The sequence below is a fragment of the Homo sapiens genome, chromosome 4, assembly GCF_000001405.40.
Source record: "Homo sapiens chromosome 4, GRCh38.p14 Primary Assembly".
Classification (NCBI taxonomy): domain Eukaryota; kingdom Metazoa; phylum Chordata; class Mammalia; order Primates; family Hominidae; genus Homo; species Homo sapiens.
In genome coordinates this window covers 150,195,268-150,210,554 of record NC_000004.12, presented here as the reverse complement: position 1 = coordinate 150,210,554, position 15,287 = coordinate 150,195,268, and the positions used below count along the sequence as shown (strand labels likewise).

The 15,287-nt window shown below is 38.5% G+C and overlaps 1 protein-coding gene and 1 pseudogene across 13 annotated transcripts in view; both read right to left on the bottom strand.

Moving 5' to 3' along the window:
• The window catches only part of DCLK2 (doublecortin like kinase 2), a 178,994-nt gene that overhangs the window by 46,884 nt on the left and 116,823 nt on the right, over nt 1-15,287 (bottom strand). For 6 of the 13 annotated variants that reach the window (XR_007096380.1, NR_036614.2, NM_001040260.4 and 3 more), the window contains exons 4-5: nt 12,452-12,553; nt 6,666-6,760 (exon numbers count right to left, since the gene is read on the bottom strand). Coding sequence is in view for 11 of the 13 variants with exons in the window: in NM_001040260.4 (NP_001035350.2) it covers nt 6,666-6,760; nt 12,452-12,553 (197 nt within the window). In the remaining 2 variants the exon portion in view is untranslated. Of the gene's footprint in view, nt 1-6,665; nt 6,761-11,476; nt 11,528-12,451; nt 12,554-15,287 lie in introns of all 13 variants that reach the window. The other 7 variants (XM_017007832.3, NM_001040261.5, XM_017007833.3 and 4 more) reach the window with 2 other exon arrangements.
• Nucleotides 787-849, bottom strand: RNU7-194P (RNA, U7 small nuclear 194 pseudogene; annotated as a pseudogene).

The window sequence follows — 15,287 nt, the reverse complement described above, 5'->3', positions numbered from 1 at the left end:
CAATTCTCCTGCCTCAGCCTCCCAGGTGGGATAATCTGTTCCTAGTAGAGTCATTTATAGATTATTGATAGGGTTGGAGTATGTGAAGAGGGCAGGAAAGCAGAGGTGAAGGGAGAGTTGAGAGGAAAAGTTGGTGATAGAAAAGCAGAGGAGGTAATAAAATCTGGAGTCTGACTTCTCTCACCTTCTCTTTCCCCCTTGTACGCTACTGCATGTTAGTTTTTTGCAAGTAAAACTGCCTTCACGTGAAAATGGAACCTGGAAATGCCAAGGTTTACGGTAAGAAAGAATAACAAGGCTACCCTAACTGCTTTCTCCATATTTAATCAATCTCAATCCTGTGCGGTAGGTCCTATTAATCCCTTTTTCCACAGATAGGGGTGATGTGACTTATCCAAGGTAAAACAGCTTAAGAGTGGCCATGCCAAGATCAAACCCAGGCACTTGGACTTCATGTGCTTTTTTTCCATTTTTAATTTTAAGTCAGAGTCTTGCCCTGTAGCCCAGGCTGGAATGAAGTGGCAGGATCTCGGCTCATTGCAACCTCTGCCTCCAGGGTTCAAGGGATTCTCCTGCTTCAGCCTCCCGAGTAGCTGGGATTACAGGCACCTGCCACCACGCCTGGCTAATTTTTGTATTTTTAGTAGAGATGGGGTTTCACCATTGTTGGCCAGGCTGGTCTTGAACCCCTGAACTCGTGATCCACCCACCTTGGCCTCCCAAAGTGCTGGGATCACAGGCATGAGCCACCGCACCTGGCCCTAAATGTTGTAATAGATTTACCTGTGTGGAGTCTGCTGGTACCACCAGAAACCCTGCTAGACAAATTCTAAAAGGGCTGTTACATTTCACGTGCTTTTGATCACCATCCTGTGTCTGTTTCCAAATGGAGGAGGCAGCAGAGGAGGGAGGGAGCTCAGGTCTCCTTCTTCCTCCAGGTCCTCTGTGTAGCTGCACACCAGGGGGCACCATTCCCACCTTAATAATCTGGCCAAAGCAGACCAAGACTTTTATCCTGGTTACCCTTAGCTTAACTAGAATAGCTCGGAATAATCACAAAAAAACTTAAGAATTAGAGGACAAAAGGAAAATAAACCAGAGTCTCGAGGAGATCTGTAGCCTCGTAACAAAGGCATAGTACAACTTGGCATGAATTGTCTTTATTTCAGAAGCCCCAGGGCTCCCCATGTTCCTGGCTGTGGGAGGCAGCCTGGGGCCACTGAGGTGAGAGAGGCTGTGTGTGGCCTGCAGAAATGCCTCCTCCCTAGGTGACCATCACCAGGAGCAGCCCTGACCTTCAGGAAAGTCAGATTCCCTAAGTCCAAACAGAAGCAAAGCCAAGTTCTAATACCTAGGAGCTAGGTTCTGGGGAAGAGGCCTAACAGGGACCTGCTGGATGGCGTTAGCCTTTAATAACTAATTTTACAAATTTTTGGTCTGATCATGTTGTTTCCAATCATTTGTTTAAGAAGACTGATCTTGCTTTCCCACTGTGTCCTTGGGGCTGGTAGTGTTTATGAGCATGGGCTCAACACCCAGCTATGCCACCATACCCACAGGGTGACTTCCATCACAGGCCCACCACAGAACATCATCCCACATCCTTGTAACCCATGTATCTGCTGAATCTGGATATGCTAATTCCAATCTATACCCATCTTGACAATACTCAGCTCCACTGAGTACTGTCTTCCAAAGAAAACCAAAAACGCTAAACTATTGTGAACTCTGTTATTGTACTAAAGCTTTATGGGGTTAGGTGGAAATAATGGGCACAGTGTGGACAGTTTCACTTTCAAGGAGCTCCCATTAGATACCTATTAGCAAACTTTTCCCCCAAGCCTCTCAGGAAAAGTTGTCACCAGGTATTTTTCTCTGTCTTTCCACCCCTCTTCACCCAGCCTCCTCCCTAACCCCAGGATTTCCTCTCTCTTTTTCCCACACCTCCCCCTCCCTATTCCCCTCCCAATCTCTCAACCCTTTTTCCTGTGGAGCAAATGTGTTACTCAGAAGGCTGAGACAAGAGAATCACTTGAACCTGGGAGGCAGAGGTTGCAGTGAGCCAAGATCACGCCACTGCACTCCAGCCTGGGCAACATAGCAAGACTCCGTCTCAAAACAAAACAAACAAAACAAAACAAAACAAAACAAAAACAAAAAAAAAAACTCCGTTTCTCCATCTTGAAGACTAAACAAGGTTTGAAACTACTTCCAGTTTTTACACTTTATGGTTTTAGGTAACTACTGACAAAAACTCTTTTATGACCAAAACTTTTATGACCAAAACTTATTTTGTTAGGCCACTTCAAAACTGCTTAGCCCCTCTTTTGGTTTTTGTTCTACAAAATCCTCTGCTTGACTAGGCCCAACCTTGGGCTTCCCTCCCTGTCCTTGCAGAATCCAGGCTGAGGCCTGAGCAAGATTCCTGTTAAGTCAGTTCAGGGAAAATCCCCTGTACTTGGTATCTGACTCTGATGTCAGATCACCCCAGCCTGCCTTCAGCAATAAGCCTATCAAGTCGGTTGAGCCGGAAGCCTCTTATGCTGGATGGTTCCTCTAATACTCTTCCATCTGCTGATGCCCACCCTGCTCCTTGGTTATAATCCCCACTTTTCCTTGTTGGAGCTGGATTTCCTCTTTTCCTCCCTGCAAGGCTCCACTACAGTGGTCTCTATACCAATTGCCAGGGACCACCCCCACTCTTTGAATAAAGTCTCCCTTATAGTCTTTAACAAGTATCTGGAATAATTAGTGTTTTTTCTTTAATACTACTTGAACAAAACAAATATATAATCAAGATACCACTAACTCTCAGTTGTCCTAAAGTCTCTCAGTTTAAGGTTAAAGAACCTTAATTACTTGGTCACCACCCTATTTCTTACATGCTCACCTGCAAAAAAATCATTCACAAGTTGAAGAAAGCTTTCCTTCCGCTACTGGCTTTTTTCCAGCCCCTCAAAGAACACAGTCTTAGCAGAATCATCTTTCTCGTAAGAGTACCAAGAAAACTACGAGTACATTTTGTGGAGAGGAGGGTGGATTGTCTATATTTTATATCTCTCTTAATGAGCAAACCAAAGTGTCACTAACAATCCATGATCAGAGATTAAACATATCCTATTTTCATTTTCAGTTCTTTCAATGCCCCTACCAAAATATTAAAATAATTCCCAGACATGTATACAAAGAGGGAAAAACGGTGACAGAACATCAAATTCTGCTTACCCTTAACCTTATTTAGTTCCCTAGTGAATAAAATCCAGATAGTAACAAAACCCTCAATGCCAAAAGCTGTGTCCTGGCAGCTAGAGAGACTGTCAGCTCCTGCACATGCTGTCGTGGCTTGGTTTGCTTGCTTTTATCAATTCTCTGATTCTCTGGAAAAAGATTATCTATCCCCCAAGGCCATTAGAGCATCTAACTAGGATAAATAGTGGTAAAGAGTTCCTGCCCACGAAAAACAATCCTCCATTCTCAGACATTCCCTCTTAACTGATCTTAATAAGCTATTTTAAATGAAGGGAAGGGAAACGCACAGTACTAACACACGGTAATTATCTGTAATTCCTCATCTGTCATGCCACTGAATAAAAAAAAATAAGCTGGTGCCTTGCAATGACATCAAAATTAGGGTATTTGGTACAGTAAAGTAACCTGACTAAATTGCATTATTTAAAAAGAAGGTTTTCATCCCAATGACAATATATACTACAGATTATGGGAACTGTAATGAGATGAAATTTTCATAAGGCAGGACCCATGAGAATAGGTAGTAGTTAGAGAGCTTTGGGATTGTGGCCTAAAAGCTGAATCAGTGTGGCAGAGACATTAGTTACTCATGTTTAATGTAAAATTCAGTGTTTTACAACAGCATTGAAGTAAAAGGACAAAAAATAGACTTCCTAGCCTTTTAGTTAGGTTTTTCGGCAAGTTAACAGAACTATATTCCTAGCATTTTAGAGGTCATTTAAAATCAAAAGTCTTGTTTTACAGATAAGAAAAAGAAAACCCAGAGGAAGTATCACAGCTGTTAGCAAAGCCCACAGGCCTCAGGCATAGTGGTGGAGAACAGGGGGTGGTCCTGGAAAGACAACTGTTCTTTGTCTTACTTATAATCTTATGTTCAATCTTGACCAGTAATCAACATTTCCCTTAATCAACAAATTTGTCTTTATTCCTCTCGGTGTGAATAAGTAATCCTTGAGCATTTACTGTGTGCTAAATGCTGGGGTTACTATAATAATTAAGATACACCTAGCATAGAAGGAACAATTTTACTTAATGTCTCAGCAATAATACAATTTATTAGGTTTTAAAAATTCCATTAATCTTAACAAATGTGAGTGACCCTGCACAAGTATGCATGCATGTGTGAGGCAGGTGTGTGCACAGAATATTAACATGTATTTCTTTGAAATGGTTAGCTGTCCTGTCCTGAAGCCATAGTTGTAATTACTAATAAGCAGCACCAACTGGCCTAGTGGCAAAAACAGAAAATGACAATATTGGGTTTAGAGGTGAAGATGGACTAGGAAGACGGGAGCTGGGATTACCAATGGGTAACAAAAAATGGGGAAGTGACCAAGACCCAGAGTAAGCAGGCACTCAAGTGTCCCATCTGATCCCCCAAAGCGGTCCTAGGTTAAGGATCTCAGCCCCACCTGGGGCAATGGCCTGGGGGAGGAATATGAAGGACCTTGGCATGTGGCTCACTGGAAAGGTTACCCTAGATCTGCCCTAGAACAATTAACCAGCTCTAGGAGCCACTCGCTTTTGCGTTAACAAATTTTGAAACAACAAACCTGAAAAGAGGTAAATCAACTTATTTTTATTTTAGTTCTCTTGAAAGTTACTTCTATTAATAACAATGTACTTCCAATCTGTTCCAGGGAAAATAGGAGAAAAATCTGAAAATAATTAGCTTACTACTAATTCTTAATTTATGTAACTTTTCTGGGAATTGACAATTTAAAAGTCCACTGAAATCACATTATGAACTGACTTAAGTCAAGTTAGTACTTCAGAAAAATGCCTGCTTCTTTTGATAAATATAAGGAACTTGCAGTAATTACAGGTAGGTGAGAGCTAGATACTCCCTACTTCCAAACGTCCTACTAGTCTCAGCCCAAATTCTGCCAAGGATAAGCAAGCAGGCACAAAAACAGATGCTCTGTCCTTTTCCAGAATTCCTCTTTTTATTCTCAGGTACTTAAACATTATACAAGTCTACTCTGAAGGACATACAACATTCTCAGGGCAAGACAAGCAAACCTTACAGTCAATTGGAGAACAAAACGTTCTGAGAAGTGGGGAAGCACAGACCTCACATGCTGCTCTGAAGGTGTCAGAGGCTGGGCTTGGCAGGTTCCCACTCCTCACTCATGCAAGGGTGGTGGAGTTCTAACCATTAAGTTTACTAATAAAAAAAAATTCTTCAACATCTTTAAAGAAATCCTCTAGGGCTATATTTGAAGTGTTTAGGGAACCAACTTTGGAAAATACATTCCTAATAGTATATCTGATCAATCAAAACACATAAAGGGAATTAAAGTTAATTTATGTATACACATACATGACACTGTGTATACATCAGTATTCTCAGAATTCATTACCATGTAGACAACCCTTTGTTTCTACAAAGGAAATTCCATTTTTTTTTTTTTGAGGCACAGTCTCGCTTTGTCACCCAGGCTGGAGTGCAGCGGCGCGATCTCGGCTCACTGCAACCTCTGCCTCCTGGGTGCAAGTGATTCTCCCACCTCAGCCCACAGAGTAGCTGGGATTACAGGTTTGTACCACCAGGCCCGGCTAATTTTTGTATTTTTAGTAGAGTCAGGGTTTCACTATGTTGGCCAGGCTTGTCTTGAACTCCTGACCTCAAGTGATCCACTTGCCTCAGCCTCCCAAAGTGCTGGGATTACAGGCGTGAGCCATCATGTCTGGCTGGAAATTCCATCTTTAGCTCTAATTATTTACTGTTATTTTACCAGGCAAATTTTCTCTTCTAAATTTAAATTATTAGGAACTACTACATCAAATAAAACTTGTTGAAATTTTGCAAAATTGGTTTTGCTCATCTCTATTAGATAACTGTCTATTAAATCAACTGCTAATCATACGGTTACTGTTTATATTTTTAGGACATCATAATCAACACCTAAGATTATTTCTAAGTTCCTCACCAAAGATGACCATATTTTCCTTGTGTTATAGCTTGTGAGTATAAACATTATGCTAGTATTTCACTTCATTTTAGGCTTTTGACAAACTCAAATTATGTTAGCAATATTAAAGTCATGACTCGAAACAAGATTTTTTAAAGAATCATGATGTTCTCCAAGGCTTCACCGCTGCGAATCATTTTGATAATAATTGGAAAACTACTATTTATTATACTTTACCACATTATGTTCATCTCTAAAATAAGAACACCACAACCCCGTGTTCCCATTTTAGAGAAGAGAAACACTTCAGCTCAGAGGAGTTAAGTGAGTTTGCCAAAATTACAGCAGTACACAGGATTCGAAGTCAAGTCTACCAGGCTCAAAATCCTAAAATCTTTTTAATTTGCTACTGTACTCAAGCCCCCAAACAAATTAAACTGCTAAACTATGAAACTCTAAATAACAAAATCACACAAATATGCCACATATCCTATTTCATACCTTTAATCCTCTGAAACTTCCTGGACTAGTTGGAGAGGAACTGGAGGATTTCGTAGATTTAGGAGTAGAAAGTTGGCTGCTGGGAGTTCCATTAACTGCCCATGAGACAACAAAGAAGACAGAAGTCCCATTAAAACCCACAACAACCAGACTGTATAAATACACTAGGTGCATGCACAATATAGGTCCAATGAAGCTTCAACTCGTTTTCAGCTCAAAGCAGACGGCAAATCAGCAAAAAGCAAAAATAATGTATCTTACTGCATTACAGACAAAAAAAAAAAAAACAGAGTGAAACTAGAACTATTTTCAATAGTAGTTTTCTGACAGCTATATAAACAAATATAGAAGACATTATGGAATTAGTGATGTGAACGAGAACTTGTCCATGTATCCTGCCTGCCAGCAAAGGTAGAGATGGCTGTTATATTTGTAATGGTTTACTATGAAGGCTGTTCCATAACCTTCAATATCCACTATCTTGGTGTATACCAAGATAACCAAGAAGTTTGGATAACCAAGAAGTTTGTGTGGCTCTCCCAAATCAAGTACACCATAATACAAACACATTTTCTAAGTATTTTCTTAATGAAAAGGGAAAATTTGCTGGTAGTTTTCCTTGTAATTCCTACTTATTTGCTCAAAGTCTGTGAAAAACATTCTTCAACCTTTTTTATCTAGACTACTTATTTCTAATTCCTTCCATTTTCTTTTCTGTACAGCTTATCCTCTCCATTTGTCAGCAAATCTTGGTAGTTTTCTACACATCTGCTCTAAACCTCCATACGCTTCTTTGGTTGAAAGCTCGATTTAGATCCTATGCTAGAATTATGTAGTACAGAATCTGCAAATGAACCTTTCCCCCAGAAAATTAAATTTGGAAATTTAAAAAATAACTGAAAAAAGTTTTCAGTTTTTGAAAACTTTGAAACCTCTCCCCTAGGAAAGGTTTGCAGATTCTGTACTACAGAATTCTGGTCAAACATTTCAGTATGACTTATGCCTGATTGTATCATTAGAATCTATTTCTGCAGTAATTTCACAAAACTAGTAGTTAACATCTAGTATTGATATATGTTTTTCTCCTCTAAATAGAGTATTTATAATCTGTTTTATTACAAATTTCCAAAGTTTTTGCCCAAAGTAGATGAAAAGTGTCATTCATCTTTTTGGAAAGAAAAGAGATGCTCATTTGCTTTTTATTCTTTTTTAAAGAAAAGATGAGAGAGCGACAACTATTATTTTAAATCACACTAATAAGTATAAAAAACCAAATGCACAGGTAAAGGTCCTGAATAGGGGACTCAAAAAAATGAGTACCAGTCCTTGAGCAGAGGCAGAAATTGTGGATCAATGAGTACTAATGATTACAAGAATCACCTGTAAACAGGAATATCTGCGTTTATGAAGTCATATTTATTGTATTGCTCATTTTAAAATTTCAGTAAAAACGAAAACTTTTTCCAGTTATTTTTAAATTTCCAAAACTTTAATTTTTCTGACTCAAAACCCTCATTCAAAATAATGGTCAGTGATCTAGATTTTATTAACAAATACATGTGGGTACTTAGAATACAAGTGTAGCACAATTAACTGTACAATTAAAAATAAGAGTATTCAACAGCCCTGATTACTTCTCAATCAAGTTAAATTTCAATTAATGTTATTTCTTCTAAAAAAACTTCTTTAAAAGGTAGAGCACAAAAGGTTTTCAGTGAAGTGAGACTGTACAATACTGTAATGGTGAATATATGTCATTATAAACTTGTCCAAACCCAGAAAACAAACAACACCAAGAATGAACCTCAATGTAAAGTATGGACCTTAGGTGCAGGCTAATTGTAACAAATGCAGCACTCTAATTGGGGATGTGGATAATAGAAGAAGTCAACGCAAGTCTGCAGGCAAGGAGGTACACAGAAAATGTGTACCTTTGGCTGTGAACCTAAAACTGCTCTTAAAAATAAAGTCTTTAAAAAAATCTTTTTCAATGGAATTCACACAAAAGAGAGATTATGACCGGCAATAAACTAGTAAGCTTGTGGTGAGGTGAGACTAAATTTTCCTTTTTTTCCTTTTTTTTTTGGTATTTTCTCCACCTCACACAGCAATCTGCACAGATCACCTGCTCCTAATCAGTAAGCACTGTTAGAGTTCACTGGTATTCCAATCCCACACTGATAGCAAAGGCTACCTTGGAATGATTGTAGGAAAGGGACTGAAGGAGAAAAAGCAGTTCTGGCAGATGGCGATCTCTGCAGTAGATCAGTCTCCTTATACATCCCCTGCCCAGGCCTAGTTTCTTAACAAAACTCACTGCCAGGGATTTAACTGGTATCAATAACTACAAGTCTGTATTTTCACCAAAATAACTCATCCTAAAAGAGATACTAATCACATATAGTCCCCTAAGTTTTTATAGCATTTGGAAAGTTCTAAACAATGTGCTTGAATGAGTAGTTCTTAATTTCACTTATCTGCACATTTCTCCAGTTCTGGGGAGGCTAATGGGGGCCCTGGACAGCACCATGTCATGACCTCTCCCCCTGCAACTTCCGCTGCTGCCGCAAGTGGAAGGTATGCCTCCGCCAGCCAGCACCTGCCTCATGCTTCCACTCTTCTGCTACACCCCTGGATTTTCTCTCCTGAAATTTTATCCCCCTCCCCTCAACTCTAAGGAAAGAAAGAAACTTGGGGGCTTTTTTGTTTTCTTTGAATACTTTCTACCTTGGCAGACTAAGAAAGATTCACAAGCTAAAATCATAAAATAATGGCCGGGCATGGTGGCTCATGTCTGTAATCCCAGCACTTTGGGAGGCTGAGGCGGGTGGATCACTTGATATCAGGAATTAGAGACCAGCCTGGCCAACATGGCGAAACCTCGTCTCCACTAAAAATACAAAAATTAGCCAGGCGTGGTGGCGCACGCCTGTAGTCCCAGCTACTCGGGAGGCTGAGGCAGGAGAATCGCTTGAACTCCTGAGGCGGAGGTTCAGTGAGCTGAGATCACACCACTGCACTCCAGCCTGGGCAAGAGTAACCATTTACCCATTTATGTTACCTAGCTTAATATCTATGTGCTTTTTACATACTATTTAGCTATTCTGACAGAGTTTTGTTGAAGGATTTAGTCAACCAGAAGACTTCACTCAAGGCAGTCTCAAGACTTCATTTAGGACTTCTGCCCCAAGATTGAAAAGGTACAATATTATGTTCATAAAGTTACCAGCTCAGTTTGAGTTCCAATTAGTCCCATGGAATTTTTAAAATGGCAACAAATACACCATAGCTAAAGTAATCTGTAAAAGCACTCCTGGGTACCATGGCTTTTAATAATACAAAATCCTCTTCTTCCTGGTGGTAGAAAGTGGAAAGAACACGCTATATAGCACTATACAGATAAGCACTATACAGATAAATATAGTAGCTTTCTTGAGATTCACTCAAATCCCAGTGGTTGACTCAGGCTTTGGGTTTTCTATAGCTAAAGTGTCGAACACACTTTGAATTAATCTCTTATAAAAAAGATCATTTTCTCTCTAAAATGTGGTTTTAAAATCTTACAACTTTTACTTGATGAGTTTGAGGCTTACTCTATTAACTCAAATCCAAATGTGGACTTAATTTAAAATTGTGTGTACTAGAATGCTACGATTTTCCTTAATCAGTTTCTAAGTATTATAAATTCAAGAGTTATGTATATATTTATTAGGCTATCTTCTGGAGCTACTGCTCTGCAGGACAAATGTGGCTATGAGACATGTTTTTAGTTCAATATGTTAATTTTTCTCTTTTGACCTCAGGGGGACAAAATTGAATTAATCACACCCGATTCTTGAACCACTCTCCCTTTTATTAAAATTTTTTTAAAAGAGACAGGGCCTTGCTACATTGCCCAGGCTAGAGTGCAGTGGCTATGCACAGGCACTATCATCATAGCTCATTACAGCCTCAAACTCCTGGCCTCAAGGGATCCTCCTGCCTCAGCCTCTGAGTAGCTGGGACCACAGGTGGTACCTCCGTGCCCAGCTATTTAATTATTTTTACTGATGTAATAAGCATCTGTAAAGCTATCACCAAAACTACATCTACTCTTTGATTAACCCAGGTCAGTGTATTTATGCAAGTCTCATATCTATATTAGCTTTCTCAGTTTTAAGATACTTTACAGAAAGCATGATACAATTTGAAATAAGGTTAATAACAGAGATATTTTCAGATAAAAATGCTCATTGTTAATTGTCACATTTTTAGAGAGAACAGGTTGAGTCTATAACTCTAGGAAAATAAATATTTGACAACTAGAAATATTGCAGTGTTGCTTCCCTGTATGTATAAGAAACACCTCATAATCCTATGCTGGCATATGCTATTATGAAGTACTAATAATTCTAAGATTTCAGTGATTACTAAACTGTTAACCCCAGGGTGGGGAGGGGGTGAGCACAGAAGATCAAAATTGCTTCTATGGCTATTTTCACATTACCAACAAACTTCAGCCTTTTTCAGTAGCAGAACATTGCTCCAAATTAACTAGAAGATGGACCCCTTGCGGTGATGTGCCTCCTCAGTCGCTTTGTATTCCTGACTATACAGACAGGCACTTGGTAATCTTCTGATGATAACCAGTTCTCTAATAAATAGAGGAGGCTAAAGTGTCTTGTGCAATGCAAAGCATTTCATACCACACAGATGTGCACTGGAATAAGCCAGATACATTCATGGAAATGGAGCAAAAGGAAACAGAAAAGTGGCAAAAAACAAAAACAAAAACCCAGCAGAGCAACAAAGCCACAATAGTCATGGCTCACCTGGGGATTTGGCTGTAGAATAGGCACTGGAGTAGTGGCCACCCCGCTTTACTGTACACATGCAGTATACACAGAGTAGAAGACAGTAAGGAGAGTGGTTATTCAGCAGCTCTAAATGTGCGTTCAAAAGGGTAAAACGACCTGCCCTACAGAAAGTGGGGGGGGGGGTGCTGAAAGGGGAAAGGGCGAATAGTGGAATGTCTGAAAAACTTGGTCTTTTATAAAGTCTGATGCTTGAGGCCATTGTTATTGATACAACTTTCCCATGTTCTAGATTCACCAACTGTAAAATCATGGTTTTTCACAATTCTTTCCTTCAGAGGAAATGATATTAACAGGCTTATTCTTAATTACTATAAACAAACCCATAAAATCAATATATGAAGATATTTATGTATGTTTTTAATGTTTAAAAATGTCCAGTCAAAATTATGACAAATTTATAGGCTTAAGACTCGCAAGAAACTTAATTATACTGTTTGACTCTTAAATAAGCAAAATACTACTTTTCAACAATAATCACTGCTATGAATGTATCATTTGATGAGGCAGAAGCCAGTGGAAATATATCAAGTAAATACATTTCTGGGCAGAGTGTGTGCATGTGCATGTGTTTTAAAAAAAAGAGATAATGTTAAGAAAATAATTATCCACAATCATAGAGCACAAAATTCAAAATGCAGTATACAGGGGTCAAAATGTGAAACGCTTCTATGTAAATACCAGCAGAATCTAGATCATCAAGCTGTTCCCAAGAAAACGTGTCAGAACAAAACCACACAAGTCTCTTAGGAGAATTATTGTAACTGGGGAAACAGACTTGACTTTTGGTTTTAAAAGTCACATCATCTCTGTTTTTCTGGAACTTGGCTGCATACGACCCTGGCAAAGACTACTAATTCATAAAAATTAGAGAAAACAGAAGGAAAATGATCTGTTCCTGCTATGACCATCTATTCCTTTTCCATTAACTACCTGAAGCTGGTGATTTGCTGCGTCGAGAGGGCCCAGGGCTTTTGGATCCAGAATACTTAACAGCTGAGGATCGAGAATAAGATGACTTCAGGACACGACATTCTAGAAAAGAACAAAAGTGCATTAACTAAATCTGGTTTTAATAACGACCAAAAGCAGAGTTACATGTAATTGTTTACTGACCAGAACTATTACCTGATAATTAGGTATTACTGTTAAACAATTTAACATACAAAGCAATTGTCCCAAAAGTACACCTGAGTTTACCTTCAGTCAGGCTACACATCTTTTTTTTTTTTTTTCTCTCTTGAGATGGAGTTTTGTTCCCGTTTCCCAGGCTGGAGTGCAATGGCGCGATCTGGGCTCACTGCAACCTCCGCCTCCCAGGTTCAAGCGATTCTGCTCACTGCAACCTCCGCCTCCTGGGTTCAAGCGATTCTCTTGCCTCAGCCTCCCAAGTAGCTGGGATTACAGGTGCCCACCACCATGCCCAGCTAATTTTTTGTATTATTAGTAGAGACGGGGTTTCACTATGTTGGCCAGGCTGGTCTCAAACTCCTGACCTCAGGCGGTACACCCGCCTCAGCCTCCCAAAGTGCTAGGATTACAGGCATGAGCCACCACGCCCAGCCAAGGCTACACATCTTGGGATATCACCTCAGTGTTCCAGATGGAGCTAATTAAGTACAGAAATTCCAATGTCCTAACTTCATACACACAAACATCCACAGCTAATCTATACATGTGCAACTATCTTTTTAAATCAGTAGTATTGATAGGCAAAGACTACAATTTTATTATGCTCTCCAACTTCTTGACTGCCTTATTTTAAAAGGGTATGGGACTCTAACTTATGAACCCCCTCCTGAATTATGTTCCATCTTCTCAAAGTATGGAACATCAAAAATGAGGAAAATAGCTTTTTCTCTCTCTCTTTTTTTTTTTTTTTTGAGACGGAGTCTCGCTCTGTCGCCCAGGCTAAAGTGCAGTGGCGTGATATCAGCTCATTGCAACCTTTGCCTCCCAGGTTCAAGTGATTCTCCTGTCTCAGCCTCTGGCCTGAGTGGACTACAGGCGCCCACCACCACGCCTGGTTAATTCTCTATATTTTTAGTAGAGACGGGTTTTCACCATGTTGACCAGGCTGGTCTCGAACTTCTCATCTCAGGTGATCTGCTGGCCTCGGCCTCCCAAAATGATGGGATTACAGGCATGAACCACCGTGCCCAGCTGAATAGCTTTAAACAACTGTTCTTTCCATAAATCACCAAATAAAATAATATTTAGAGTACCAGAAGTAAGTATTGCTAAAGTAATCACTTCTAAATTGCATAATGAAAAACATAGGTTTTGGAGTTGTGTAGATTTTGAATGAATTATGCATTTGACATTTGTTAACTAGGGGCCTTGGCTGTAAGCCTGAGTTTTTTTTTTTTGCCCCAGTGAAATTGGGATAAGAATAAAATTTACATCATAGGCTTGTTATAAGAGTTAAATTAGGTAACATACTGTCTGTAGTAGTTTACTCTAAAATACTTCAATTTATGCAGGAAGTTTAAAATGTGGATTAATTTTAGTCTATACCCCAGGGGCAGTAAACTGACAAGTGAAGTACACTAACCAGGAAAATACACCCAAGGGGAGGCTAGTTAGCATTTGAAAGATTCTAATCAAAACCTTACACAAAGGGAGCAATTTTTGCTTAATTAGCATTGTGGATGTTAAAAGTATCCGACTGTTGAAAGGTGTGTGTAGATTATTAGAAACATCTTAAATGCATTGCTACTCTTTTATATGAGCAGGATATGTAAATATCAAGAGCCAACAACCTAGAACTGCAGAACTATATCCTAGGTTTATGAATTGGAACCAATCCTGTATCGATTAATCGAGGATGTAGTTACTTCACTAAGATCAGGTAAACTGAATTCCATGCATTCTGAATGGGCCTTTAACACAAGATGTTATTAGAAGCCTAAAAGCAGAGAGTTGGGACCTCATTAAGATTACAATACAAGTTAAATAACTGATTAAAAAAAAATTTGCCTCCTAATAAACGTATCTGTGGCAGAATTAGGTCTGAGACTTGCTCATTGTAAAATCATTGTAAAATTTTACCACATAATGGTGTTGGTGTAATATTATTATTAACAACAACAAAGATAGCAGTGGACGCATATTACTATGTGACAGGCACACTCCCAACTGCATGACATATATTATATTATAATGCATTTGATCCTCAGAAAACCTTATAGCCATTATTATCCCTACTTTGCAGGTTAAGTAACTCGAGATCAAGAAGGAATAAATCAATAGCTCTCACCAACTTCTAACTATTGCAGGCCCTGTTCACCATCAACAAAAACTACCAACGATCCAAGTAGCTTAGATCAAAGTACAACATACCCATGAAGCACTGAGTACAATGCCTGTACATACAAAGTAAGTGGCTCAACAAATGTTATTGTTATACATATTAACTTTATAAACCAGAACATATTTAGTTTCAGTGGCTCAGCTTTCAAAATGACACCTGACATCAAAGAAATATTATGAAACTAAAGCTAAATTTAAGAAAGATGTAAAGTACAGATGATATATAATATAATATATATTATATAATAATATATATAATATATAATATATCTAATATATATTATATATATAATATATAATATTATATAATATATATAATATATAATATTATATAATATATATATTATATAATATTATATAATATATATAATATATAATATTATATAATATATATAATATATAATATAATATATAATATAATATATAATATATAATATAATATATAATATAATATATA